The sequence below is a fragment of the Homo sapiens genome, chromosome 8, assembly GCF_000001405.40.
Source record: "Homo sapiens chromosome 8, GRCh38.p14 Primary Assembly".
In the NCBI taxonomy this organism is placed as follows: Eukaryota; Metazoa; Chordata; class Mammalia; order Primates; family Hominidae; genus Homo; species Homo sapiens.
Genome location: NC_000008.11, coordinates 122,669,773 through 122,696,219, shown reverse-complemented (window position 1 = coordinate 122,696,219; position 26,447 = coordinate 122,669,773). Strand labels below are relative to the sequence as shown.

Sequence of the window (26,447 nt, the reverse complement as noted above, 5' to 3'; positions counted from 1 at the left end):
TTTCACCATGTTGGCCCGGATGGTCTCTATCTCTTGACCTTGTGATCTGCCCATCTTGGCCTCCCAAAGTGCTGGGATTACAGGCGTGAGCCACTGCGTCCGGCTGTAACTTTTTATTTTTAAATAGTTATAGACTCACAGAAAGAGGCCATAAGTACAGGGTCACATATACCCTCCCCTCAGCCTCCCCGAGCAGTGACATCTTATAAAGCTGTGGTAAAATAGCAAAACCAGGGAGTTGGCACTGGTAGTGTTGAACTATACTGCAGATTTTATTCTGTTCTCAGCATTTTTTAAGCTTGCATTTGTGTGTATGTAATGTTATCCCATGTATAGATTCATGTAACCACCATCCCAATCAAGATACAGAACTGTTCCATCACAGTAAAAGAATTCCATTCAGGCCGGGCGCGGTGGCTCATGCCTAAAATCCCAGCACTTTGGGAGGCCGAGGTGGGTGGACCATTTGAGGTCAGGAGTTTGAGACCAGCTTGGCTAACATGGTGAGACCCCGTCTCTACTAAAAATACAAAAATTAGCCAGGTGTGGTGGCACACACCTGTAAATCCCAGCTACTCCAGAGACTGAGGTAGGAGAATTGCCTGAACTGGGGAGGCAGAAGTTGCAGTGAGCCTAGACTATGCCACCACACTCCAGCATGGGTGACAGAGTGAGACTGTGTCTTAAAAAAAAAAAAAAAAAGAATTCCATTCTATCTGTTTGTATTCCTCCCCCCTCATCCTCCTGCTCCCTGGCAACCACTAATCTGTGCTCTTTCTGTCATCGTTTCGAGAATGTTGGATAAGTGGAAACAGATCCGAAAGGTATGTAACCTTCTGAGACTGGCTTTTTTCACTAAGCATAATGCCTGAGGTCCATCCAGGTTGTTGCATGTACCAAGAGTTCATTTGCTTTTGTTGCTAAGTAGTATTCCATTGTATGGAGGTACCACAGTTTGTTCCATCCTTTGCCTATTGGACATTTGCTTTTTTTTCCCTCGAGTATTTTGCCATTATGAATACAGCCACTACGAATATTTATATGCAGGTTTTTGTGTAAATATAAGTTTTGATTTCTCTGGGATAAATGCCAGGAGTATGACCGTTGGGTCATATGGTAAGTGTTTAATTTTGTAAGAAACTGCCAAACTGTTTTCCATGGTGGCTGTACCATTTTACATGTCCACAGGCAATGTATAAGAGATCTAGTTTCTCTGCATCCTTACCAGCATTTGATATTATCACTATTTAAAATTTTAGCTATTCTAAGTGGTGTGTAGGCATATATTTTTGTGGTTTTAATTTGCAGTTTCCTAATGACTAATGATATTGAACAACTTTTCTTGCTTATTTGCCATCTGCCTATCCTTTTTGGTGAAATATCAGTTCATGTCTTTCAGCCATGTTTAATTTTTTTTTACTGTTGAGTTTTGAAAGTTCTTTATATATTCTAGAAGATGCAAAATGTTTGTCAGATATTGGCTTGCAAATATTTTCTCCCAGTCTGCAGGTTGTCTTTTCACCCTCTAAACAGAGTCTTTCACAGCATGAAACAAATGGAGGCTTTAAATGGCCATTTCAGAAAAGCCTGACCTAGCCTTGAGAGCGTCGGACACGGTCACTCCACCGGTTCCCACTCACGAGGGCAGATCATGGGTTTAAATCCCATTTGGGTGTGCTAATTCAGCTTCACAATAGCTCACCCACCATGGGCTTAACGCTATTCAGTGGCCACAGGTGAGTGTGTTTCAGGACATCACAAAAAGATAAGCTGAGAAAGAGTGGCCCACCGCTGCCAGAACAGCTTGAGGGCAAGTCCCCACTGACCCGGAAAGTGAGTCAGTTGCATCACCCCCTTAGAAACCTGGAAAATGCTTCATCATCGGTGTAGAGCGAGAGCCAGCATTCAAAACGCCAGGGGGCTTATCAGGCCATTTCACCACAACATAAAGTAACAGGCAGACTTGAATTCATCTGGCACTGTTGACCAACACAGAGAGCCAAAACACACACGGAATTCAAAATCAGAAATAATCCCAAGTTTGAGTCATCCAATGTGCTTGTCTACATTGATTGCACTCACCAGATAAAAGTCCAATGCACTCTGTGGGGTGAAACAGCCTCTGTCTCAGGTTGGGAGTTGCTGCCATGGAGACCACAAGAGTGGAGATTTTCTGACACACAGAAAGGAATGGATTACAGCTCCTTCTTATGTAAATTTCCATGGAGGGGAAAAAAGATTAAAAGGAAAATAATTCTGCTTTAGTCGTTTTCCTTTAAGGTGATAAGATCCTTTGATTCCATCGTGGAGAAGAAGGCAACAGCTGTTTGTCACAAATGGTAAGACATTTTATTTGACATTTTGCAGAAACTCGATCTTTAGCTGTAATTTTGACCTAATGGTTACAGTGAGTTGTTTTTAAGAGAAAGATAGATTTTCTTGAAGCCAATGGGCCTCAGACATGAAGAATGAAGAACTAATTGTACTAACCTCAGTTTCTGAAGTGGACAGGGAAATCTTACCTTCCTGCCTCTCTATGTTCAGGCTGAGTGGGTCAGAAGGAGAGTGTATTAGGTAAGAAAATTTATCAGTATTATTTAGTGAACACTGGATTTATCCTTTTGCATTCTGGCTGTAGTACCCAACTTCCACATGGCAATGCACCCTCACCTCAGCCCTCCGCCCACGTGGTCCCCTTGCTGAGCACTTTAATGAATGACTGCATCTCATTTTCACAGCTATTTGATGCACCTGCTATTATTACTCTTATTACCATTTTCCAGTGGGAAGCTGCTTCTTGGGCAGGGTGGATTTCCATCTGCGTCTCCTTTTCGGTGTTGAAAGCTGGTAAGTGAGGACACCAGGATTGGAACCTGGGTAGTCTGAGTCCAGAATCTCTATTTTCAAGTCTTCCTGCTCTCTGCTTCTGGCAAGTTTGATGTCCACTTTTGATCTTCACCTACATTCCAGCATAATAGCTACTTTTGGTTGTTTTCTCAGCAGCACAAGAGAAGTGTGGCGAGATTTTTAGGTGAGTCATCTAGAGAAGTTAATCTTATTTTGGGAATTCTACTGGCAGCTTCAGGTGGGGAAAATTTTGTTATTTTCTATCCTCCTCTAGGTTCTAAAAGGGAAGAAAGATGGTGAGCGTAGAAAGATGTGACTGTATTCACTATTCACCCTTTGTCGGGTGGTGAGTAAGCAGCTTGCAAAAGCAATGAAGTTTGGAACAATCCAGAGAACCAAACTTTCAGCTGCCAGAGATGGCACCTGGTATCCTGGGTACATCTGCCTGTAGGGCCCAGAAAGAGCTGGAAGCCAAGTGCATGGATCAGGTCTGTAGGAAGGTGGGAGAGCCAGGAATCGAGTGTCAGGGGGCATTTATTACCCATGGAAGCAGGTTTTTGTCAATTTTGTTCACTGCTGGATCACTAACACCTGGACTGGTGCCTGGCCAGGTGGTGGCTTCATAATCATTTGTTGAGTGAATCAATGAATGAATGAATGAACAGCTGTAGCAGATGCTAGCAGGGCTTCCTATTTCTTCCATCACCATAAAGGTGAAAGACATCATAAACGGGAATTTAGACAATCCTCAGAAATTTTCAACTGCCATGTATCTTGACTTGATGCTTCTAGTAGTTATATTTATTTGTAATTCAATCTTTCTTTTTAAATAGTTGACCAAGTGTGGTGGCTCACGTAGTCCCAGCACTTTGGGAGGCTGAGGCAGGAGGATCACTTGAGCCCAGGAATTTGAGACCAGCTTGGGCAACATAGTGAGACCTCATCTCTTAAAAAAAAAAATTAGCTGGGTGTGGTAGTGCACACCTGTGGTCCCAGCTACTTTAGAGGCTGAGGTAGAGGATTGCTTGAGCCTGGGAAGTTGGGGCTGTAGTGAGCTTTGATTGCATCACTGCACTCCAGCCTGGGTGACAGAGCAAGACCCTGTCTCTAAAAAATTAAATAAATAATAAAAAAATTAAAAAGTAACTCCCTTTTCTTTATTTTCAGGCTTCCTTCCCACCTGCTAATTCAAACACTTTACAACCAAAAATATCTTACCTTGATCCTGTTTCTTTCTCTATAACCTCTCTATTTCTGTTTCTTTCAACCAAATTTCTTAGGTCATCTATAATTTTGTTTCTACTTTTTCTATGCATGCCTCAATCCATTGCCAACTCCTCAACCTGCCCCAAGTGCCCACAACTCCACCAAAAGTAATTCTAACATTTTACCAATCCAATACATCACAGTTTTTTATAAAAAACTTAAGAAATATACTTTAGTTGAATTTGAAAGAGTTGCCCACTTGTGTTAAATATTTCTTTCCTTGTGTCTGGGATATCATTTGATTCTGATTCTATTCCTAATTCTCTGACCACCCTTTCTTCGTAGATTTCTCTTCCTTTGTTCAGCCTTTCACATCCTTGGAGTTCCATCCTCTGGTGATTGTTTGTCCTGTTCCATACATTCTCCTTATATGAGCATTGTGTTTTAGCTTATGAATGGTCACATGACCTAGCCAGGCCAATCAGAGTCTTCCATGAGACTTTTGTTTATTTATTTATTTATTAATTTATTTATTCTTCCACATGCCATCTCATTTAACCTGGGACTTTTGTCAGAATTATCAGGAAAGACATTCTTCTTTCTTGGCAACAGTTGACTTTTAGGATCACAGTAGTCTGGGGCTGCCAGGGACCATGTTCTCCATTAGCAGAGAGCCTGGCTGAGAACAAAGTCAAAACATGGGAAAGCAGGATGGAGAGACATATTGTCATCATGTTACCCCTGGATCTAGCCATATTTGAGGCTTAAACTTATCCTGGACTCTAAAGTTATGGAACTAACATATCTTTTTAAATAATTTAAGCAGGTTTGAGTAAGATTTCTGACACTTGCAACCAACAGTCCTGAAAAAGATACCTCTACTCAGTCTTCCTATTTCCAATCTCATAACTCCAACCCGATGCTGCCAGAAGGAATGATATGAGATACAGAACAGGTAGTGCCATTGCTCTGTGTAAGATCTTTCAATGGCTCTCCGGAGCCTATTCAGGAGCGTGAACTCAAAAGCCTTAAGGGAGCAGGCTGATGGCATAACTGAGGGAAACAGTCCAGGTGTAAGATAATAGAAAGGGGGAGACCAAGTGTTCAGCCCTGGAGTATGCCCTGCCTCCAGTCATTCATACTCAGAATGCAAACCCCAAGTGCCTGCCAATCAGAACATGTCTGGAGGTTGGATTTGGCCTCCAGCCTCCAAGTTTGCAAGCTTTGGCTTATGTTGCAAGTTTAAGCTCCGGTAGACAGCCCTGGAGGCCTTTGTGACCAGGCCTCTGACACTTCACAATATTCGTTTCCTGTCATTAGATGCTGTAGTGACACTAAGTTGGTGCCCACATCGTGTTCTGTTACAGTCCTATGCTTTTGCTCATGTTGGCCCTTTACCTGGGACCTTGGCCCACTCCATCCTTTCTATCATGATCTTCATCTCACTAAATCCTATTTGTTCTTTAATATTCATCTCAGGTGTCACCAGCTCCAGGAAGTGTCCTCTTGATGAGACAGGTGCCCCTCCTCCATGCTCTCATGGCCTGCTTTATGCCTCTCTGTCATTGCCCCTGACATATACGGCAGACCATGTTGATTACTCACCTACAACCATTCCTCCTCCTGCTTACTTGCTGGCAGAATTTGCCTCTCTCAACCGAAGCTGAAAACACCTGATATTCTCTTTCCCAACCTGCCTTATAGCTAAAGTCTGGGGATGTAATTTAATTCTTCTCAAAGAGATAAGATGGGAAATCTGCCAAGGAATTCTTGGGGAAGTTTCCTCCATGACTACAAAGGAGTGATCTTTTTCATGTCTGCCATTAGACGTAGTTTTGTGAGGATGTGATGGTTGGAGCTACAGCAGCCACCTTGAAGCTATGAGGGGAAAGCCAAGAGAATCATAGAGGTGGTGAACTGGATCCCTGCCATTCCTGAACTGCCGAACCAACCTGGGAACATTCTCCCCCAGATTTTTGGATATGTGAGATATAGTAATAACCCCTGATGCCTAAGTCACATTTTGTGTGTGTGTGTGGGCGGGGAGAGGGGGCGGTATTCTCTTACTTGCAGGCAAACACATTCTAAATGATTCAGCATTCAGCAATGTTCACATTGCCTGTGCACTTTCTCTTCTATTATTCTGTAAGTTATTTGTGGGGATAGATGATCTTATAATCTCTGGTCTAGCATAGAGTCAGAAGTCAGTAAATGTTCACGGAAATACTTTTTTTTTGCATAATTTTTCCACTGAGAGCTCCAGTAAAGGGTGAGTGCCAGATAACATCTGTCCCATTTTGGAGATAGCCCCTGAGTGTTGGGGAGTGGAAAATATGTCAGGCAATGTTATATGACTAACACCCCAGGATTTATGGGAATGAAGAATCTGATACAAGTATTACATCATCTCAGTGGAATCGACTAGTGCTACTCAAATTGTTTACTCAGACTTTTCTTTATGTGAAAGCTTACTACCAAGCCCAGCGTGTATGTCAGATAAAAGTGTGGTGCATTGGTTAGAGAACGCAAGGGATGATGAGGTGCTTACAGTCCCCCTCATCCATGCTGGGCCTGTCTCCTTTCTTGGTGTGATCCTTGCAGCCCCTTTTCTGACCTCCTCCCCTGGGTCAGACAATTAATGCTGCTTTTATGATCTTGAATCCATCAAACCCCTTGGTCTTCCCTTGGTCCTCAGCTCTTTTATTAAAAGTTGGAGGTCACCATTAGCCTTTTGGAGGTCTTGAGATTCCAATTTTGTTGGGATATTTAGAGCACTGCACCAGTTTTGGCTAAAAATGGTGCAGCAAATCAAAAAGGCAAAGCCATTTTGAAGAATCTATTTGGCAGTCCCAGTCCTTCAAGTATATACATTTAATTTTATGGTTTGTTACACAAATTTGTTGAATTTTTCATACCAAAGGAAGCCTTTGTATTTTGGAAAGCTCTGTAAACTAAGAGCAGACATTCTTATATGGCATTTGGGCTCTTTTGTTCTTTTTTTTTTTTGAGACAGGGTCTTGCTCTGTCATCCAGGGTAGAGTGCAGTGGTGCTAACATGGCTCACTGCAGCCTTCACCTCCTGGCTCAAGCGGTCCTCCCACCTCAGCCTCCAGAGTAGCTGGGACTACAGGTGTGCACCACCACACCCAGCTAATTAAAAAAAAATTTTTTTTGGAGATGGGGGGTGGGTCTCACTCTGTTGCTCAGGCTGGTCTCAAATTCTTAGCTTCTCCCACCTTGGCCTCCCCAAATGCTGGGATTACAGGCATGAGTCACTGCGCCTGACCTCTTTTGTTCTTAATAAAGGGGAAAAAAATCACTTGAGTTTCCAATATTGACTCACAGAGAAGACATTCCTCTTTCACGTTTCTACACACTTGTTAACATAAGTCTGAGTCTTCTCAGATCTTCTGACTCTGAAATTTAGGTAGTGGAATCAGATCTTCACATGATCTAGATCTCAGAGTTTGAAAGAACAGTGCTCTCAGGGTGGAGGGTTTGTGCGGGGCGGGGTGAAGGATGTTATGGGGATAGCATCACACCTAGATCACTAATGATCACATGCAAGAGAAGGCCAGTCTCTCTCTGTCTCTGTCTCTGTTTTCTAAAGAGGAGGAGATTATATTGTATTTTCAGTTTTTCATGGCCACTGGCTTCCCTTTAGCTTCAGGAAAGTAAATTTTAGTCTCTCAGCCTGGATGAATTGCAACCCTGACCAACCAACAACCTGATATACTCAAGCTCTTGGCTGAATTGCCCTCACTTTTGTGAATCCTGTCTCTTCCCCGAGGCAGCGGCGTTCCTGAAGCTGTCTCAACCGCAGTCTGTTCTTTCTCCAAGATGTTTCCCAAGATGAAAAGATGCTGTCGTTTTTCTTTTTGATTAACAATACAACTCTGAGATCTTTACACTATTTTCTTCATGTTATAACTCCTTTGCAGCCCATAAAACATCCCTCTACCTGCCCATTCATCCAACAGATATTTGCTTTTTATTTGCCAGATATTGTTCTAGGAGCTGAGGATACTGTAGGGAACAAGCCAGGCACACCCCTGTCAGCATGGAGTTTACATTTTAGCTTGGGGACAATAACAAACAAATAAATACTAAATATAATGTCAGATAGTGAAAGCACTATAAAGGAAAATTTTGGTGGCCATGAGAATGAGCCTCTGGGATCTCATGGTGCAGAGTGTGAAAGTGACTGAGAACCTCGGCAGCTGCATTTGGGAATGCACCACTGTGTTTGCACTGGGACTGCTTCCCCTCAATGTCCCAGTGTGGCAGGGACACTGAGGCAGACTTGGGATTTCTTGATGGGAAACTTTGGCTTGAGTACTCTCTGAAGGGCTTGCTGGAATTTTTGTAGAAGTGTATTCTAGTCTGAAATCCTTCCTCTCTCCCACCCTCCTTTCCTTCCCTCTCTCCTTCACTTACAGGCAGATCTTCACTGCAGTTTGACAGCTCTCCCAACCAGTCCCAGTTCACTCCCTTCATTTTCTCATATGTGTTTCCTCTAATAAAAGTTTACATTTTTCTTTTTTTTTTTTTGAGATGGAGTTTCACTCTGCCACCCAGGCTGGAGTGCAGTGTCATGATCTCGGTTCACTGAAGCCTCTGCCTCCTGGGTTCAAGAGATTCTCCTGCCTCAGCCTCCCAAGTAGCTGGGACTACAGGCACCTGCCACCATGCCTGGCTAATTTTTTGTGTTTTTAATAGAGACAGGGTTTCACCATGTTGACCAGGCTGGTCTCGAACTCCTGATGTCAGGTGATCTGCCCGCCTTGGCCTCCCAAAGTGCTGAGATTACAGGTGTGAGCCACTGCACCCAGCAAGGTTTACATTTCTTATTCCATTCTCAAGCTGACACAAGACTAATGCAGCCTGCAAGAATAGAGAGTGATGTGGAGTGGGGGCTACTTTAGATAAGTGGCCAGGGAAGGTGACATTGTCTAGAGACTTGATTGGAATGAGGAAATGATCAGAGCAAACCCCTGGGGGAGGAGCGTTTAAGTAGAGGGAAGAAGGAAGAGCATTCATCCACTCAGAGACTTGGGTTTCTGTGGGTTCCCTTCAAAACTGCTGAGGGGCGGCAGTGGGGCTGGGTCCCCTCCAAACTTGCTCCCACCATCTCCCTTCCATTTGGAGGGCTCTGTCTTTAACCGCTTTGCATATTTGGCTTTACCTAAGATTTCATGTGAACAAAGAGTTCCAGGTTTAAAATAAAAACACTCTGGAAATCACTGCCCTGGAGGCACTCTGCGACCTCTGCCCTGTTTTATGACTCTGTCAGTTCACTGGCCATGCAGAGAATGGGCAGTGGAAGAAATTACCTCTATTTGGAAGCCTCATTGTTCCACCGAGATACTGGATTAGTGTGAGGCAGGTGTAGATAAGGGGAATTACAGTAACTGATTAAAGGACTTGATGCATGGACTCTGGTAGAGAGGGTGGGGCAGGATCATTTGGGGGCTTTCACGCTAAGCTCAGAAGCCCTGCAGTTGGACAGCAGCCAGAGGAACTGGCATATATCAAATAGACAGAAATGGACAAAGGATGGCTGTGAGCACTAAGGTTTGGGAGGGAGTGGGAGGTAAAGGGTAGCCTTCCGTGTGAACCGGAGAGGAGTTTCCAGAGGCAGTGGAGGATAACAGCTGTGCTCAAGGACTTTGGTTTCAAAGTGCAAAACATTAATATTGCCCAGAAGAAAAATGATAGAATTCACCTGTTACTGGTGATTGGTAATCGAATGTATAAAAATTTCCTGGCACTTCGTTAGTGACTTCTTTGGTGGTAAAACTTTATCTCTCCCTCCCCCACCCCCCAAGTTTTCGGAAGAAAGAGACTGGCAGCCATAATGCAAAGACTGACCTGGATGTGAGAGGCTTTTTATTCTGTCCTTTTAGGCTGGGTAGGGAACATCAGCATTGCTGATAGGGAAGTGAATGTATAACACACTGAAATGAAGGTGTGTTCAGCCAGTGAACTCAGGGAATCCTTGAGGTATGTTTTAAAATCAAGTTTGTTTATAAATGAGAGGTTCGACTCCAAAGCCTTAAACATACAAGAGTCTGTTGTCTCATATAAAATATTTTGGAGATGGGTAGTAAGTACAGGGCTGCTAAGGCAGCTCCATGCATTATCAGAGATCCAAGAACCTTACGCTTTCTGCTCCACCATGTGTACTTTCCATCCTCAAGGTCCAAAATGGCTGCTAAAATTCCTGCCACTACATCTGGATCCCAGGCAGCAGGAAGGAGAAATGGAAGAAGACCTGTCCTGTCCCTGAGACAATGCCATTCAGCATGTTCCATACAATATCTCTGCTTATTGATCACTGGCCAGAACTTGACAGAGATGAACAATGAGGCTTTTTTGTTCTGCTTTTTATGTTCTGCTACAGACAAAAAGAAAAAAAAGCGTATGTATTTATAGTCTACTTGATTTTAATAAAGGATTGAGTGCAGCCTAAGGCATGTGCATGTTATCCTGTAGGTAACAGGGGCCACAAATGGGTTGTGGCTAATGGAACATGGCTGAAGGGTCTGTGCCAGTTCTGAGCCTCAGGAGGCACTGCTGTTTCTTCTTGCCCTTCTGGGACTTTTGCCATGGGAAGAACCCACAGTCTTGGGGTCTTTTTCAGCCTGGGTTCCAGAATGAGATGCATTCTGAACATGAAGGTGGGGCAGATCTGAACTTGACCCATCACCTGAAGCCAAACTGTCCAAACCACCTCTCAAAGCTATGAGCAACAAATAAATGCTTATTTTGTGCGCCTCAGAGATTTGTAATTGCTATACAGCATCATTGTAGCAGAAGCCTGTGAATGCCCCTGGTAACTAGATTCCTCTCTATTCTCTCATACTGTGAGTGCTAGACAGGAGATGTGGCCAGTCCTGCCTGTTCAGTATACCAGGTGACCCCAGAGATAGTGGGAGGGAAATGCCACACAGAAATGTCATTGCACAAAAGAGAAATGCAGTGCTCATGTGCATGTGAGAGCTGGCACTCAGGTGAGCACCAGGGATGGTTTAGCTCAGGGACTCTCAAACTCAGCACTACTGACATTGTGCTGTGGGGGTCTCTCTGGTGCATGGAAGTTAAGAAGTGTCCCCGGCCTCCACCCACTAGATACCAGCGGCACCTCCTCCCTCCCATGCTGTGACAATCAAAAATGTCTCTAGACATTGCCAAATATACCCCGTGTGGCAAAATCACTCCCAACTGAGAACCACAGATTTAGCTGATCTGGCTTCAGTTCTTCTGATAAGACCAGAAAATGACAACTAATGACACCACTTATTGAGCATGTACTGAATTCCAGGCACTTGGTTAGGCATTTTCAGGAATTAATTGAATTTGGAAGGTTTATGAATGAGGAAGCTCAGGACAGAGAGAAGTAACTTGCTCCAGTAACATGTTTAGTCCACGGTGGAGCTAAGGCCAAGCTGTCTGACTCCAGGATTCGTGCTCTTGACCATACTCTCCATGCTGCCTCCCCCAGAAATTAACCCCTTGAGCGAGTCAGGAAAAGATGCGTCGACACAAGTGTTATTCTCGTGAATATCACTTGAATTCTGTATGTGTGTCTTATAGTAGCAAAAACAGTGTGGGCTTGGTCAGGTGCGATTCTCGCTACCCTTACATAGCTGTGGAATAACCTCGATAGTCACCGTCGTACTTCCCTGCCTACCTGAGTGGGGCTACACAGACTGCAGGATGTATCCAGCCTCTTCAGGCTTTTTCTGGACAACTCAGTCCTACTTAGTGAAAACGTGTTTCGAGATCCTGCGCCTCTTTGATGATAGAGATAAAAAGCCTTAAAAAGGTTTCTACCCATTAGTCTAGCAATTCCACTTCTTGGAATTTATCCTTAGGAAGGAATCAAATATGTCAAATCAAACAAAGAGTTATGCATAGGATATTTGATTTTAGTGTGATTTGCAAGAGCAAACATTGAATACGATATTGGGCAAATAAATTACAGCATGTCCAGATGGTGGTATGTTCGACTTGTAGATGAATATTTTCTTCCAAGGGAAAAACTTCATGATATATTATTCTTTGAGAAAAAAAAAGATTTGAATACCATGTAGCATATGATCCCAATTTTGGAAATTGTGTATATATTACACCATCATATTGAACAAGCAGGGACTTGTAGGATGCAACAGAAACGAATCGTATTTTTGGTCTCCCACTGTCTTGTTAAGCTTGTTCTGCAATATTTATTCTGCTCCTTAATAAAAGTGGGGCAAGTTCTACGAAGTCTTTTGTCGCCCTTATCTAAGAAAACATGATCCAGTTACTTCTTCCACAAAAACCCAGTCTCCATTGGTAATTAATATGCCCATTCCAGGATAAGGACCCAAATCCTCCCATCGACATTGCAAATGAAAATTTCCTCCCTCTCCCAGCTTTGCTGCATTAGGCTGGCACCTGCAGTGAGAAGGGGTTGTGGGGCTGTGCGCCTCTATTTGCTTCACCTGGTGCTTCCATTTTCCCTCCATACTCCCCCCACCCCTTGGCTTCTCCAGGATTGGCCAGGGCAAGAGGAGAAGAGAGGAGGGAAGCGGGTGGGAAGAGACTCACTCCGCTGGTGGTGTTCCAGCCATCTGGGGTTGACAGATGACTCACCTCATGGGTTCCTTCATGGGTAATTTGCAGCAACCGCCTCTTATCTGCCTTTGCCTGACTGGGAGCATGCATCTCTTCTGACCGTTCCTCCACTGCTTCTCCCTCACCCCCTAGCATCTGGCGCCGCACCTCCCAGGCCAGTTCTGCTCCATGGGAAACTCACACATGCTTTGCCCTGACAGACTCGGGAAAAGCAAGTCTCCCTCAACGCGATCACCTCGTCTCACTCCACCTTCGGCGCAACTGGCCTGCCGCCATCTCTCGCCCTTTAAATTTCTCAGGGTGAGCCAGACATCAATCGATGGAGTCTCCCGTGATCCAGGGAACATGCTGCAAGCCTTCCAGGAGGTCTCATGGAAGCCCCTTCACCTAGGCTTGAGGTGGTTAGAAACAGCCTCTCCCCAGAAGGGTGGGGAGTGTAAGGATTGGCAGCTATCTCCCCAAATTCTTGTCTAATCCCAGCCCAGCTCCAAATTCTTTTTTTTTTTTTTTTTTTTTTCAGAAGGAGTGTCGCTCTGTCACCGGGTCTGGAGTGCAGTGGTGCGATCTCGGCTCCCTGCAAGCTCCGCCTCCCGGGTTCACGCCATTCTCCTGCCTCAGCCTCCCGAGTAGCTGGGACGACAGACACCCGCCACCACGCCCGGCTAATTTTTTTGTAATTTTTTTTTTAGTAGAGACAGGGTTTCACTGTGTTAGCCAGGATGGTCTCGATCTCCTGACCTTGTGATCCACCCGCCTGGGCCTCCCAAAGTGCTGGGATTACAGGTGTGAGCCACCGCGCCCGGCCTCCAAATTCTTTAAAGTTCGGGTGGTGGATAGATTGGGGCCCTAAAACCCGTTTCTGACTACCTCCTGTGTAAGTCTTTGTGGTCTTTCACTTTTCCTTAGAAATGGGGTGCAGTCACTCTTGGTGTCTTGGAGCCTCGGCTGATACTAAAACAGAACCTGTTTTAACACACTGTTTTGCACAAACACAGAATAAAGAGGCAGACGGTATGCCTGTCAGTCTTGCAGAGGCCTCCGGGAAAGAGAAGATGGGGAACTGGATAGCATGATTTCCAGGGTTCCTTCCAACCCAGAGATTGCACGGCAGGCTGGCAGGGAATAAGAGAAAGCATTGGACCTATTCCCTGACTGTGCTATTAGAGAGACAAGACACGCACTAAGCACCCTGGTAGCAGATCATCACAAATGCTCTTGATGGTAATATAAATGCAACAACAATAAGTATGAACAGTCAAGCCTTGAACCGTTTGGAATGAGCTTTATGTCTCAGAGAATAGGGAGGAGTCAACTCACTGTTGTAGAAAGTTGCTGAGAGGAGGTAGACGTCAACTAAACTTGGTGTTCTGAGAACACGCCTTTAAACCTCCTTGGCCTCTCCTCCTGGGCACTTCGCACTTGTTTGTTCTCCCAAATGCCTCCTTGCCAGGAAATCAGTCCCAGTCCCTGTAGTTGGAGGTAAAGTTGTCATCTACTTTTTGCCATTGCACTTTATCTACACTACTTTTGTGCATCTTGTCTTATAATTGAGTGGAAGCCTCAGAAGGACAAGGGCTTCTTTCTTTACTCACAGTGATATTTCCTTTCTGGGCCCGGCACATGGGGACACACACATACACGCACACACACACAAACACGCACATGCACACACACATGCAAACACACACACATGCATATGCACACATGCCCACACGCACACACATGCACACACACGCACACACATGCACACACATGCACATGAGCACGTTGATATTATTCTTTTGTCCACGGCACTGAGTTAGCGGTTGGCTGAGTCAGGGTTGGAGCTGGGTTTCTGGGTTTCCACTGCACAGCTCTTTCTACCTCCTACCCTGGACTCTCCACTCTCTGGCTTCCCAGGTCTCTGGGCACCAGGAGGCTGGAAAGCACTTTGCTGGATATTCCAATTCTGTTGGCATTTGTGACTGAGGACATGTGCCCAAATTCATCCTGTGTGTTTCCAACTCAGAGCCTTCTGGAACAGAGGTGCTCCCCAGAGGTGGGGAAAATGCAGCCGGAGGAGATGGGTCACAGAAAGCTACACACCCGGCGCTGGTCATGCTGAGCAGAGCAGGCCCTCACGTCCCAGTGGCTCTCCCTTCTGTGTACATTTAATGAGCTTTTGGCTGCATTTCAAGGAGACCTGGCCTTGGGCACGGGGCATGGAAATGAACTTCTGAGTGAGCTCTCTAGGAGAAAAATAAAGGCCTGGCCTTGGGCCTGATTGGAGCCCCATGACTCTGCCAATGCTACGTAGAGAAAAAGGCAGTTGTGTTGAGTTACCGCATTTTAAAATAGAGGCTGTAAACCCTCTCATTTTATGGGTGGAAACCAAGGCTCAGAGAGGGGTTCTGATGCCCAGGTTTATGCATCTGGCTTAGCAGTAGATTCAGTCACCACTAGACTCTGCAGAGCCACTACAGAGGCCAGCTGGAGAGAGGTCTGAATCCCTGCCAATCTTGTTCAGTGCCACCTCAACTTTGGAGAACTCCCGGCCTTCTCTGGTGAATTATAATAGCTGCTTCTGCACATCCTGCCTCTGCATGTATCCCTCTGTGAGCCATGTGTCCCTGGAGAGCCTGCACCATGTGTTTATCATCCCTGGATTACCAAGAGAGGGCCCATTGTGGGCCCACAGGGATCCCAGGGTGGGTGGGGCACTGACTGGCACCAGGGCTGGCTTTTCCAAGGAAGTCAGGCCCAGCTCTTCCTGCCAATGCGCCTCCTTTCTCTCTCCTTTCATCTCCCGAGCCTCAGAAAGCTGAGCAGTTTCTGTTGAGGATACCATCCTGTTCATTCTAGGAGGGCAGCCTGCCAGAAGCAGCAAAATTTCTGGCCCATTTCCCAATGCAAAGGACAACTGGGAAATGGCCTAGAACAGTGCCGTCCAATAGAAATGTAATGTAAACTATACATTAATTAAACATTTTCTAGTAGCCACATTAAACAAAGAAAAAAGACACTGGTGAAATTGAGTTTAATAATATATTCTATTTAAGCTAAGATATCTAAAACGTCATTTCTGCATGTAATCAATATAAATAATTATGAATGAGATACTTTGCATTTTTTGATATTGAGTGTTCAAAATCTGGTATGTATTTTATACTTATGGCACATCTCAATCTGAACTCTAAATTTTCATAGAAAATATTTGATCTGTATTTCAATTTCATAAAATTTACAATTGAAACAGTAGAGTCATCTCTCCGCATTGTTCTAAACATAAAGTTTTTTCAATAACTGAATTGTCTATTTAAAAACTTACATTTACCTTAATTAAAGCAAAATTTTAAAAAGGCAGTTCCTCAGTTACACCGGTTACTTTTTGAGGGTCAAACACAGGCTCTAGAAGGTGCAGAGGGAGCTCTGGCAGAACATGACTGAATCAGGTGTGTTAGGCTGTTCTTACACCACTATAAAATACCTGAGATTGGCTTTTTTTGTTTTGTTTTGTTTTGTTTTTTGTTTTTGTTTTTTTTCTGAGACAGAGTCTCGCTCTGTCACATAGGCTGGAGTTCAGTGGCATGATCTTGGCTCACTGCAACCTCTGCCTCCCAGGTTCAAATGATCCTCGTGCCTCAGCCTCCCGAGTAGCTGGAATTACAGGTGTGCACCACTGTGCCAAGCTAATTTTTGTATTTTTAGTAGAGACCGGGTTTTGCCATGATGGTCAGGCTGGTCTCGAACTCCTGACCTCAAGTGATCCACCTGCCTCGGCCTCCCAAAGTGCTAGGACTACAGGCGCGAGCCACGGTGCCCATACAAGGCTGGGTAACTTATAAAGGAAAGAGGTTTAATTCGCTCGCGGTTCTGCAGGCTGTTTAGGAAGCATGGTGCCTGCATCTTCTTGGCTTCCGGGAGGCCTCGGGAAGCTTTCAATCATGGTGGAAGGCAAAGGGGGAGCAGGCATCTCACATAGCAGGAGCGGCAGCAAGAGACAGTGTATATTGGGGGGAGTGCCACACCCTCGAACAACCAGATCTTATTGAGAACTCACTCATTATTGTCCTTGGTGCAAGGACAGCACCAAGCCTTGAGGGATCCACCCGCCGTGATCCATTCACCTTCCACCAGCTCCCACCTCCAACACTGGGGATTGCATTTCAACATGAGATTTAGACGGGACACATATCATCAGGGGAGAAAGCCCAATGGCCCTCAGGGGTGGGGGCAGCTTCGCTCATTGTTTTGGTGTGTCAAAATACACGTCTCACTTATTTTCCTCAAAGTTTCAGGGATTGAAGGCGGGTCGCAGTCATGGTGGAGGCTGGGCTAGCTTCCAGCACGGTCTTCAGTGGGATTTCACGTCTCTGCATTTTCAGCAGCACGGGGAAGTTTGGGCAGCATTGATTTTGTCAGGGAGACTGGGAGGACTGGTACTTTGGGGAGAGTCTCCTAGGTCCAGGGACCCCAGAGAATGCCTGCAGGGTGCGGAGGCCCCTTGAGCGGACAAGGGGAACAGCTGCTCCCCCTCCTGGGAGCCAGAGGAACAACAGTCCTGCCGGGCTGCGGTGATCATGGCAGGGCTGAAGGCAGCCTGTTCCAGGGTGGAGGCGGGTGGACAAAGGGCCGAGGAGAAGCTGCATCTTTTTTGAATTTCCAAGTCTCAGAACACAGAGGCCCTTGACTTTGGAAGTACAATGACATGAGTACAGAAAAGAATCTTAGAGCGCAAGATTATTTAATGCAGTTTGGCAATTTTCAAGTACAAAACAAAAATTATTTATTTTTCTCTAGATTTTGTTAGGAATCTGCAATCACCTTCAGAAAGACCTCACATGTGAAAATATACATTTTCAGAAATGACACATCAAATCCTCCAGTCACTTACTCTATAAGCTGAAATTATGTATATAGTACATAGTACAACAATGTACATAGTAAAAAATTCAAAGCACACCGTAAGTTATACAATGGAAAGTAAACATCCCCTCTTCCTTCCTTGGACATCTCTTTAAAATGTTCAGAGCAACTGGCAGGTAGTAGCTGTTCAATAAATGCTAGTTTGCTACATTAGAATGTTGTAGGTGGACCAAAAAGCTAACAGCAACATAAATATTCGATTAAACTGCAAACCAGTAGGGCCATGTGTGAGAAAAGGAGATGTGGCAGCCTGGTGGAGCGATGCTGCTTTGGAATTTGGTGCTTTTGAATGCTGTTGTTTTTGAATTTTGCTTTAAAAGTTATTTAATCTACACCCTCTACCAAACACTTAGAGAAGGCTCTCCGACTGTGCTCATCTGGAAGCTTCTGGAAACAGGGTGCCCAGGGTAGTAGGGCAGGCAGGGACATTGTTTTTCAGGGCCTATGGCGGGCAAGTGGTGAAAGGGCTGGTGTTTGATGCAACAGACATGCCCCAGGAAAGAGAAAGCTATGAGCTGTGTTCTGTCTTTGGCAGCTGGGTTACATCACTTTAGGCCAATTTAATCCAACCAACATTCAGGCTAGTGGATGGGATAAGAAGAGACAGTTTTTATCTTCAAAGTGTTTGCATCTGAGGGCAAGAAATGGCAACAAATCCACCTACTATAAAGTAATGCAGAGAATGATGGTCACTGATGGCAAATTTCCCTGGAGTCCAAAGGAAGGGTCAGCAAACAATGGCCCACAGGCCAAATATGGCCACCACCTATTTGTTTGTTTGTTTGTTTGTTTAATAGACTTTATTTTTAGAGGAGTTTTAGGTTCACAGCAACACTGAGTGGGAGGTTTGGGCAGCACTGATTTTGCCGGGGAGACTGGGAGGACTGGTACTCTGGGGAGAGTCTCCTAGGTCCAGGGACCCCAGAGAATGCCTGCAGCGTGCGGAGGCCCCTTGAGCGGACGGAGGGAACAGCTGCTCCCCCTCCTGGGAGCCAGAGGAACATAAATAAATGGGAGATTTCCCATTTATTCCTTGCCCTGACACATGCACAGCCTCCCCCATTATCAACTTCACCCACCAATAGCCACATTTGTTACAGCTGATGATTGGCACATCATTATCACTCATGGAGTCTATAGTTTACATTCTGGATCATTCATGGTGTACATTCTATGGGTTTGGACAAATGTATACTGATGCGTATCCACCATTGTGGTTTCATCAGAGTGGTTTCACTGCCCTAAAAATCCTGTGTACTCTGCCTCTTCACCCCTTTCTCCCCCACCAACCCCTGGCAACCACTGATCTTTTTACTGTCTCCATAGTTTTGCCTTTTCTTGAGGGTCATGTAGCTGGAATCATACAGTATGTAGTCTTTTCACACTGGCTTCTTTATTTTGTAATATGCATTTATGTTTCCTCCGCGTCTTTTCATGGTTTGATAGCTCATTTCTTTTTAGTGCTAAATACTATTCCATTGTCTGGATAGACCAGTTTATTTATTCATTCACCTACTGAAGGGCATCTTGGTTGCTTCCAAGTGTTGGCAATTATGAATAAAGCTGCTCTAAACATCCATGTGCAGGTTTTTGTGTGGACATAATTTTTCAACGGTTTTGGGTAAATACCAAAGAGAGCAATTGCTGGATCATATGGCAAGAGTATGTTTAGTGTTGTAAGAAACGGCCAAGCTGTCTTCCAAAGTGGCTGTACCATGTTGCATTTCAACCAGCCATGAATGAGAGTTCCTGTTGCTCCACATCCCTGCCAGCATTTGGTGTTGTCAGTGGCCTGGATTACAGCCTGTTTGTTTTTGTAAATAAAGTTTTATTGGAATACAGCCATGCCCATTTGTTTATGTATTATCTATCACTGCTTTCATGCTACAACAGCAGAGTTGGCTGGTTATGACAGAGACAGAACAGCCATGAAAAAAAAGCCTAAACTATTTACCACCTGACTCTTTTCAGAAAAGGCCAATGCCTGGTCTATTGGAACAGCTATTTTCAATGGAGAAGCCGTGTAGGTGTTGGAGCGGCTCCTTGGAATGGAGAGAGTAGAAAGGGGAGCGATTCCAGACACAGGAAACAGACTGAGCAAGGATGGGGTGGCCTGGCCAGGTTGGGGAAATGCGGCGGTGTCAGAGACTCAGCTCTTTAGGCCTTTCCTCTGCTCTAAGCTGGAAGGAATTGAATCAATTTTTCCACAGCTTGTAGAAAAGACAGGATGAATGATGTCTGTAAATGCTTGAAGCAAGATATGAGAAAAGCATCCCTTCACCCAAAATGCTATTTCTATTTTATTGTTAAATGGATGCTAATTTTTCTGTCTTCCTTTTCTCTTCCCAGCCCAGTTTGCCAATTTCATCCTTCCTATTGTTTTGCCTTAACTAAACAAAACATACCAGACATACCAGCACAAACTGTAATGTGTTTACTTACAGAAACATATTTTCATTCTTTTTCAAATAGGTGGTTCACTCCTAGGTCCAAAATTCAAAAGGTTTAAAGAGCGTACGGAGAAACATTGCCCTCCTATTTTGTAGCCTTCCTGTTCTTCACCCTATAGGCAGCCAAAAGTACCAGTCTCTTGCATTGTATATCCTTCTAGAGATATTTTCTGCAGGTACAAATATTGGTGCAGATACTATTTTTCTTTCTTTTATCACAAATGATTATTTTATATGTGTATATATATATCCTATCTATATATCTCATATATATACGGGCACCATTTTGCAATTAGCTTTTTTCCTCTTAGTAACGGTTTTAGAAGTGTTTCACATTAATGCATCCAGAGCTTCCTCATTCTCTTTTTATTCCTTTCTAGTGCTTCATCCTGTAGATGTATCCTATTATGTTTAAGTGTTTTAGTGGCAAATCAGGGCTGTTGCTCTCTCCCCCTTTCTTGCCAGCAACAAGCCCTGGATAGTATTTATTGCTGGGTTCAGCATATGGGGTCAATAGCAGTGGCTGGGTTCATGATGCTGATGGCTTTGAAACAGCTCTTTTGTGGCCCTTCGCAGGTGAAGCGAGAGAGAGAAGAGAGCTAGATTCCAGCAATCCTGCTGGCAGGGTTCTTCTGCCTGCTTTGGCTGCTGGGGTGGGGTTTGGCTGCCTAGGTGCGATCGCCCTGTCCCTGTGATTTCCCTTCCTCAGGTTGCTGGTGGGAAAAGGACCTGTTGGAAGTTGAAGACATCAAGATTATTCTGATGTAGTGAGATCAGGGAGGCTCTATGGTGGTGGTGGCATTTGGCAGGTGTCTTAGCCATGGCTTTTTGATTGAAAGTTACAAACACCCATCTCCAGCTAGCTTAAGCAAAAAAGGAGAATTTATGGGTTTATGCAGGCAAACAAAGACATTTAGGACTTGAGCAGATACCACCAGTTACTTACACAATGTGTATTTCCTCTGTTGTCTCAGTATGCCAGTTAAAAATACTCAGCTGTTTGGACTTCCTTGCAGTGAGGGGTGGCCATGTGACACTTCTGAACACTGAGATGTAAGCAGAAGGATACAGGTTGGGTTTTCTGGGAATATATTATTTTTCTGATGAAAAGGGATACCCTCAATGGGCACATGCTTTCTGCCCTTCCAGTGTGGAATGTGGATATAACCCCAGAGATGTAGCAATCATTTTGGAGCATGAGGAGATTCATGTGATGGGGATGGCGGAGGAAAACGGTCTTTGATGTCATCATGAAGCCAGAGCAGCAGAGCTTGTCCACTGGCCTTTTAAACATCTGCTACCCAAGAAAAACAAACTCCTTTGGCTGAGCTCTGGAATTGGGCTTTTGCTGCTCACAGTGGAGCAGAGGCCTTGCCCTAATTCAGGGCAACTGAATTCTGGCATTTGTATAGTGTCAATTTTCTCCATCTCTTTCCAGTTTATTCTCTCAGAATCCTCCATGAGGCAAGGGACATGGCATCAGCAGCTCTGGTATCTATCTTGTCAGCTTCCAATCCAGGGGAAAGAGAAAGCTAGCTATTCCTTCAATTCCAAAATGGAGGGGAAAACTCCAGGGAAGACATCTGATTAGTCTGTCTTGAAGGATCTTCCTTGAACCAACCTCTGTGGATCAGAGGATGGGGTAATATGATCAACCACATTACCAGATCAGCCTACCTGGCAGATGGGGTAGGGAGCAGTTTCCTAAAGGAGGAGATGGAATATTTTACCAGGAGTGGGAATAGGCAGGCAGGCAGATGAAAACAACAGATGGTCCTTCAGCAGGCGCTGAAGGTTTAGATGAGTGGAGAGGAAAGGCAAGGTGATTTCAGGGGGATGGTCACCTCCTCCAAGAAGCCTTTTCGGACAGCCTGACTTAGCCACTTATCTCTCCACCCCATCCACTCTTGCTTCCCTCATGGTAGTACATGGCACTGTCTCTTCCTGGCAGCTTTGAAGGTGGGCACTTCTTCTGGTTGATCCTGTATCCCTTCCTCTCATTACTAGTATGTGGCAGCCACTCATTGTTTAGAGCAGTGAGTGAAGGGACAGGAGGAACAAAGACACTGAGGAAGAAAGTCACAAGAAAGACTTTGGTTTGCTTGGAATCTTGAGTGTATGATTAAAAACCTAGCAAATCCCAAGATTCTTAAGGTGGGTTAGGGTTAGATTAGAGTGGGACCCTGAATGTCAGGCTACGAAGTTTGTGTGATGGACAGTAGGGAGCCATTGAACTCTTTTGAGCAGGGGAGTGGCAAGGTCAGGGCTGCTGCACTCCTGTGCCTTGTTCCTTTGACCTCTGGCTGCTGTCTTTCTTTTCCATTCTCTGGCTTCTCCATGATTCTTCTTGGTCTGGTTCTTCATCTGTCTTGAACACCTTTAGTCCATGTTTCCCACCCCTGCTTTTTTTCTCCCCAAACTTCTTCACCAATCAGTTCTGGGCTGATTCTGTTCTGTGTGCCGGGGAGAGGACAGTTTACCCTGGCTGGTGCCAAGTGGGTGTCCTTCCCAGGAAGGTTCCAGTTGAGCAGCTCTTGGCTGCCCTCTTCTGGGCACTGGTGGATATAACCACCTGCTCTTCTGGAACTGGCTAGAAAGACTCCGGTCGCAACCTTGCCTCATGATGCGACTTCTGTCTTTTTGTATCTGCCCACCAGATCCCCTTTAATTACTTAAAATCAGTAAGTTTTTTTTGAGTGCCTACCAAGTGTTTAGATTTGTCTGGCGATAGCTACATATAGAATGCTTCCGACTTCCCACTGATCTAGATATTGTTCATCGTGGGATATAAGCCTTGCATAAATGTCAGAGCACTTCTTTTGCTAATTTACATGTCTGTCCTATTTATTTGACTGAACTGAGGTCACTTTAGTTTTGAAAGCCGTTGAAGAGGTAATGTGCTTGAACTTTATAAGTATGTAAGGCTTACATATTTATATTCCCCGGAGAGCATCTTCCCCCATAAATCACACCCTGATGCTTTCATCAAAGTACAGAAGTCTGTGCACATATTTTTATTATTCACAATGGAATTAAGGCAATGCCCTAATTAATGATTTTGCTAAGAGGCAATTGCTGTTTCCAGGGAACTCGGACCTGTAACATGGATTCGAAGCCATTCCTGGGGTTTTTTGAGCTCATAAAATGACAGATTCACATCCCAACAGGACATCTGACTGGATTCTTGGCCTCACTGTGGGTGATAAAAATACTTTATTCTGAACAAGTTGCTTTCCTCAGGCCAAAGGCTAATTGCTGTCCCGTTCTGGTGAGCAGGCTGTCACTCAAACGCCTAGGCTCTGAAACCTGTAATCTCTTCACGGTGCCAAGACGACATCTTCCTTTCCTGGATCCGCCTTTGGAATTCCCCTATTCCTCCATTCATTCAAATCCAGCCCATTTTTTCAAGACCTATTTCTAATCTCTTTTCTCTGAGATCCCTTCCCTGCATCCTGACTTTTCTTTGTTCTAAACAATAACACTTCTGTAGTCTGCGGCATCGACTTAGCAAAAGTCATGTATTATCTTGCAACATCTTTTACTTTTTAAATAAAACCTTATTTATACATTTTGTACTGTCATTTAACTTTACAAAAGTTTATGTTTCATGTCTTTAATTGGATCATAAAATCCATAATGCCAGAAACCATATCTTACACTTGGTTGTTTACCCCACAGAATGTTGAATATTTATTGCTATGTGTTCAATAGACGAGCAGCAAATGCTCTTGATTGGTGGGTTGTTGTATCATTTGCCTATCTTAGCTCTAATTAGTATACTTGCCTGAGAAATTATTTACAAAAGACAGATTGGCCTAGGCCATCATTAACACTTTCCTGGAATATTTTCATGCATTTAGATGCTTTGCAAAATGTATTGCCCAAATGGCTCCGTGTGTCTATGTGTGCACATGACAAAGAGAAGCCAAATTAAAATCATCCTTTTAATTTATCATTGATGCATGATTATTTTAAAATTTAGTTTTAATTTTGATTAACTTTATACACACACATGATTTTCAGGGTTAAATAATTTTAGAAGGCATAGTGAAAAATAATAGACTCTTCTCTTGACCCAGCATTTCCTGCTTCCTAGAATCAACACATTCAGCTCTTGCAGCTGGTTATTTTGGTATCGCCTCCATGTCACTGGTATATGCTTATAGTGCTCCTTCTTTTTTGCCTAATGCTTTAAGCATTAACTGTTAGCCTCTCACTATTTTAGCCCTCTTTTACCATTTCTACCATGCCCCATCATGCACGGTTCCTGAACCCCCGGACCCCCATGCTCTCATTATCCCACTACTGTTATTTCATAATTTTGCTTAGGTTAATATTCAGTGTGTATATTTTCCTGTCCCTATAAATACTCTTCACAGCTGAAATGTGCTTACTTTTATTTTCTTGCACAATCTTTAGGTTTTCCTGGAGTTAATAGTTATATTGTTTTTTCTTCCTTTGTTTTGTTTTCTATCACTAATTCACTCCAAACTTTCTCCTCGGTTGTTTAAATTTCCTCTCAATACACTCACTCACATCCGGTATTCTAACAAAGCCATCTTTCGATCATCTTTCCTGTACCCTACAGAGCTGCTCCAGCCTGGACTAGTTTATTTCTAGGCTGAGTACATGGCTATACTTGGATCTCCCTTTGCCTTTATCTCTGGGATTTCCTTTGCTCTTTCTTGGATTGACGTTCTCATTTCCCAGACTCCATGTCTTCCTCTTTCTTGCTTTGCCTCATAATTTTGGACTTACCTAGTAGCTTCTTCTTCTTTTTTTTTTTTTTCCTTTTTCACATCAGATGGGAAATGTGCCAACGTCACAACAAGGTTTGAGGGAGGCACATCTCATGCTCGGACATGAACACCCGATCATCATGCTTATGAACTACAAAAGGATCTCCAGTATGGGCTCACGGCAGGTAATTGTTTTGAGACTTATGTCTGAAATGTTTGTATCCCACCCAAATATTTAATTGTTAACTTTGATAGGTGTAGAATTCTAGGCTAGAAATAATTTTTTTCTACAGAATTCTAAAGTCATTGTTACATTATCTTTTTGCTTCTACTGGGGCTGTTGAGAAATTCACAGTCATTTTGGTATTTTGAGCAATGATTTTTACCTTTTTCTGAAAAGTTTTAAAATTCCCTCTTTTATGTCTATTGTTCTGAAAGTTTAAGATGATGGAACTTAGTGTGAGTTTATTTTTATCTATTGTACTGAATATTTACTGTACCTTTTAAGTCTAGAAACTCATGCCCTTCAGTACTGATAAATTTCTTGGATTATTTCTTGTGTCTTTTTTCTTCTATTTTTCAAGTTCTTTTTCTGAAATTTTAGTTACTCAGTTGATGAACTCCTAGAATGATTTTCTATATTTCTTATCTTTTATATCATATCTTCCATCTTTTTGATTTTTCATTCTACTTTCTAAGAGATTTCCCTAAATTTATCTTCTAACTATTTGACTGAAATTTTCATTCTGGCTGTCAAATTTGAATTTATAATTACTATCTTGTTTTACAATTGTTTTCCTTTTGCCAGAATATTGTTTTTATTTAATAAATTACAATAACTTCTCCTATTTGTCTGAGGATGTTGATGATAGTTTCCTTTTGAAGTTTTTATTTTCCTGCAGAGTTTTCTATAAGTTGCTTTTTTTTCCCCCATAATATTTTGGCCTTTACAGTTGGCCCTTGAATAACATGAATTTGAACTGCCTGAGTCTGCTAATATGTGGATTATCTTCTGCTTCTGCACCCTGAGACAGCAAGACCAACCCTTCCTCTTGCTTCTTTTCCTTAGCCTATTCAACGTGAAGATGACTAAGGTAAGGACCTTTGTGACGATCCACTTCCACTCAATAAAAAATACATATTTTTTTCCTCCTTATGATTTTCTTCATAAGATTTTCTTTTCTCTAGCTTACTTTATTGTAAGAATACAATATATAATACATATATGATAAAAAAGTGTTTAGTGATTGTTTATGTTATTGGTAAGTCTTCCAGTCAAGAGTAGGCTATTAGTAGTTAAGTTTTTGGAGAGTCAATTGTATTTTTCAAGTTAGGGAATTTCCTCAGAGTTTTGGTGGTCATTGACTAAGGCTCACATTTTGAAATGAGACGCTTAAAAGCAAATTAGAAACTCAGTGTGTGGGGGTGGAACTTGTTAACTCTGAACTCACTACTTGTAAGGTGATTTGGCCAATCTGCTTCTCCAGGGGTATTCTGTTGTTAGTGCTGCTATATCTTTTCTTGGAGTAGATAGACTTCCTAGAGAGGTGTGCTTCAGTCTCTGGCAAGCAGAGTGTTAAGTCTGGCTTCTTATGCTCTGAGAGCTAAGGTCCTCATACTCAGTGTGTAACCTCTCACTCAATCTTCCTGTGTTCAGTACACTGTCCCTGCCCTCAACAAT

The 26,447-nt window shown here is 43.6% G+C and overlaps 1 long non-coding RNA gene and 1 other non-coding gene across 2 annotated transcripts, besides 5 other annotated features; one reads left to right on the top strand and one right to left on the bottom strand.

The window, feature by feature from the left end:
• Positions 1,298 to 1,798: an enhancer, noted in NCBI's record as "NANOG-H3K27ac hESC enhancer chr8:123706661-123707161 (GRCh37/hg19 assembly coordinates)". NCBI's record gives its function as "activates a minimal SCP1, AML or CMV promoter by ChIP-STARR-seq in naive H9 embryonic stem cells {active_cell/tissue: H9 hESC(naive)}" and the evidence as "EXISTENCE:reporter gene assay evidence [ECO:0000049][PMID:30033119]".
• Positions 1,298 to 2,818: a biological region, named in NCBI's record as "CDK7 strongly-dependent group 2 enhancer GRCh37_chr8:123705641-123706840".
• Positions 1,619 to 2,818: an enhancer, noted in NCBI's record as "CDK7 strongly-dependent group 2 enhancer chr8:123705641-123706840 (GRCh37/hg19 assembly coordinates)". NCBI's record gives its function as "activates an origin of replication core promoter dependent on BRD2, BRD4, P300/CBP, MED14 and CDK7 cofactors, with strong dependence on CDK7, by STARR-seq in HCT116 cells {active_cell/tissue: HCT116}" and the evidence as "EXISTENCE:reporter gene assay evidence [ECO:0000049][PMID:35650434]".
• LINC01151 (long intergenic non-protein coding RNA 1151) lies at positions 2,114 to 25,835 on the top strand. Its single transcript, NR_126348.1, has 4 exons — positions 2,114 to 2,339; positions 2,739 to 2,847; positions 24,832 to 24,951; positions 25,720 to 25,835. It is a non-coding gene; the product is annotated as a long intergenic non-protein coding RNA 1151 (long non-coding RNA).
• Positions 5,448 to 6,647: an enhancer, noted in NCBI's record as "BRD4-independent group 4 enhancer chr8:123701812-123703011 (GRCh37/hg19 assembly coordinates)". NCBI's record gives its function as "activates an origin of replication core promoter dependent on BRD2, P300/CBP, MED14 and CDK7 cofactors, and independent of BRD4, by STARR-seq in HCT116 cells {active_cell/tissue: HCT116}" and the evidence as "EXISTENCE:reporter gene assay evidence [ECO:0000049][PMID:35650434]".
• Positions 18,436 to 18,730: a silencer, noted in NCBI's record as "tiled region #1583; K562 Repressive non-DNase unmatched - State 13:Ctcf". NCBI's record gives its function as "represses a minimal TATA promoter and a strong SV40 promoter by Sharpr-MPRA in K562 cells {active_cell/tissue: K562}" and the evidence as "EXISTENCE:reporter gene assay evidence [ECO:0000049][PMID:27701403]".
• On the bottom strand, positions 24,826 to 24,929 carry LOC124902081 (small nucleolar RNA U13). Its single transcript, XR_007061212.1, has one exon. It is a non-coding gene; the product is annotated as a small nucleolar RNA U13 (small nucleolar RNA).
• Positions 25,836 to 26,447: the final 612 nt, after the last annotated feature.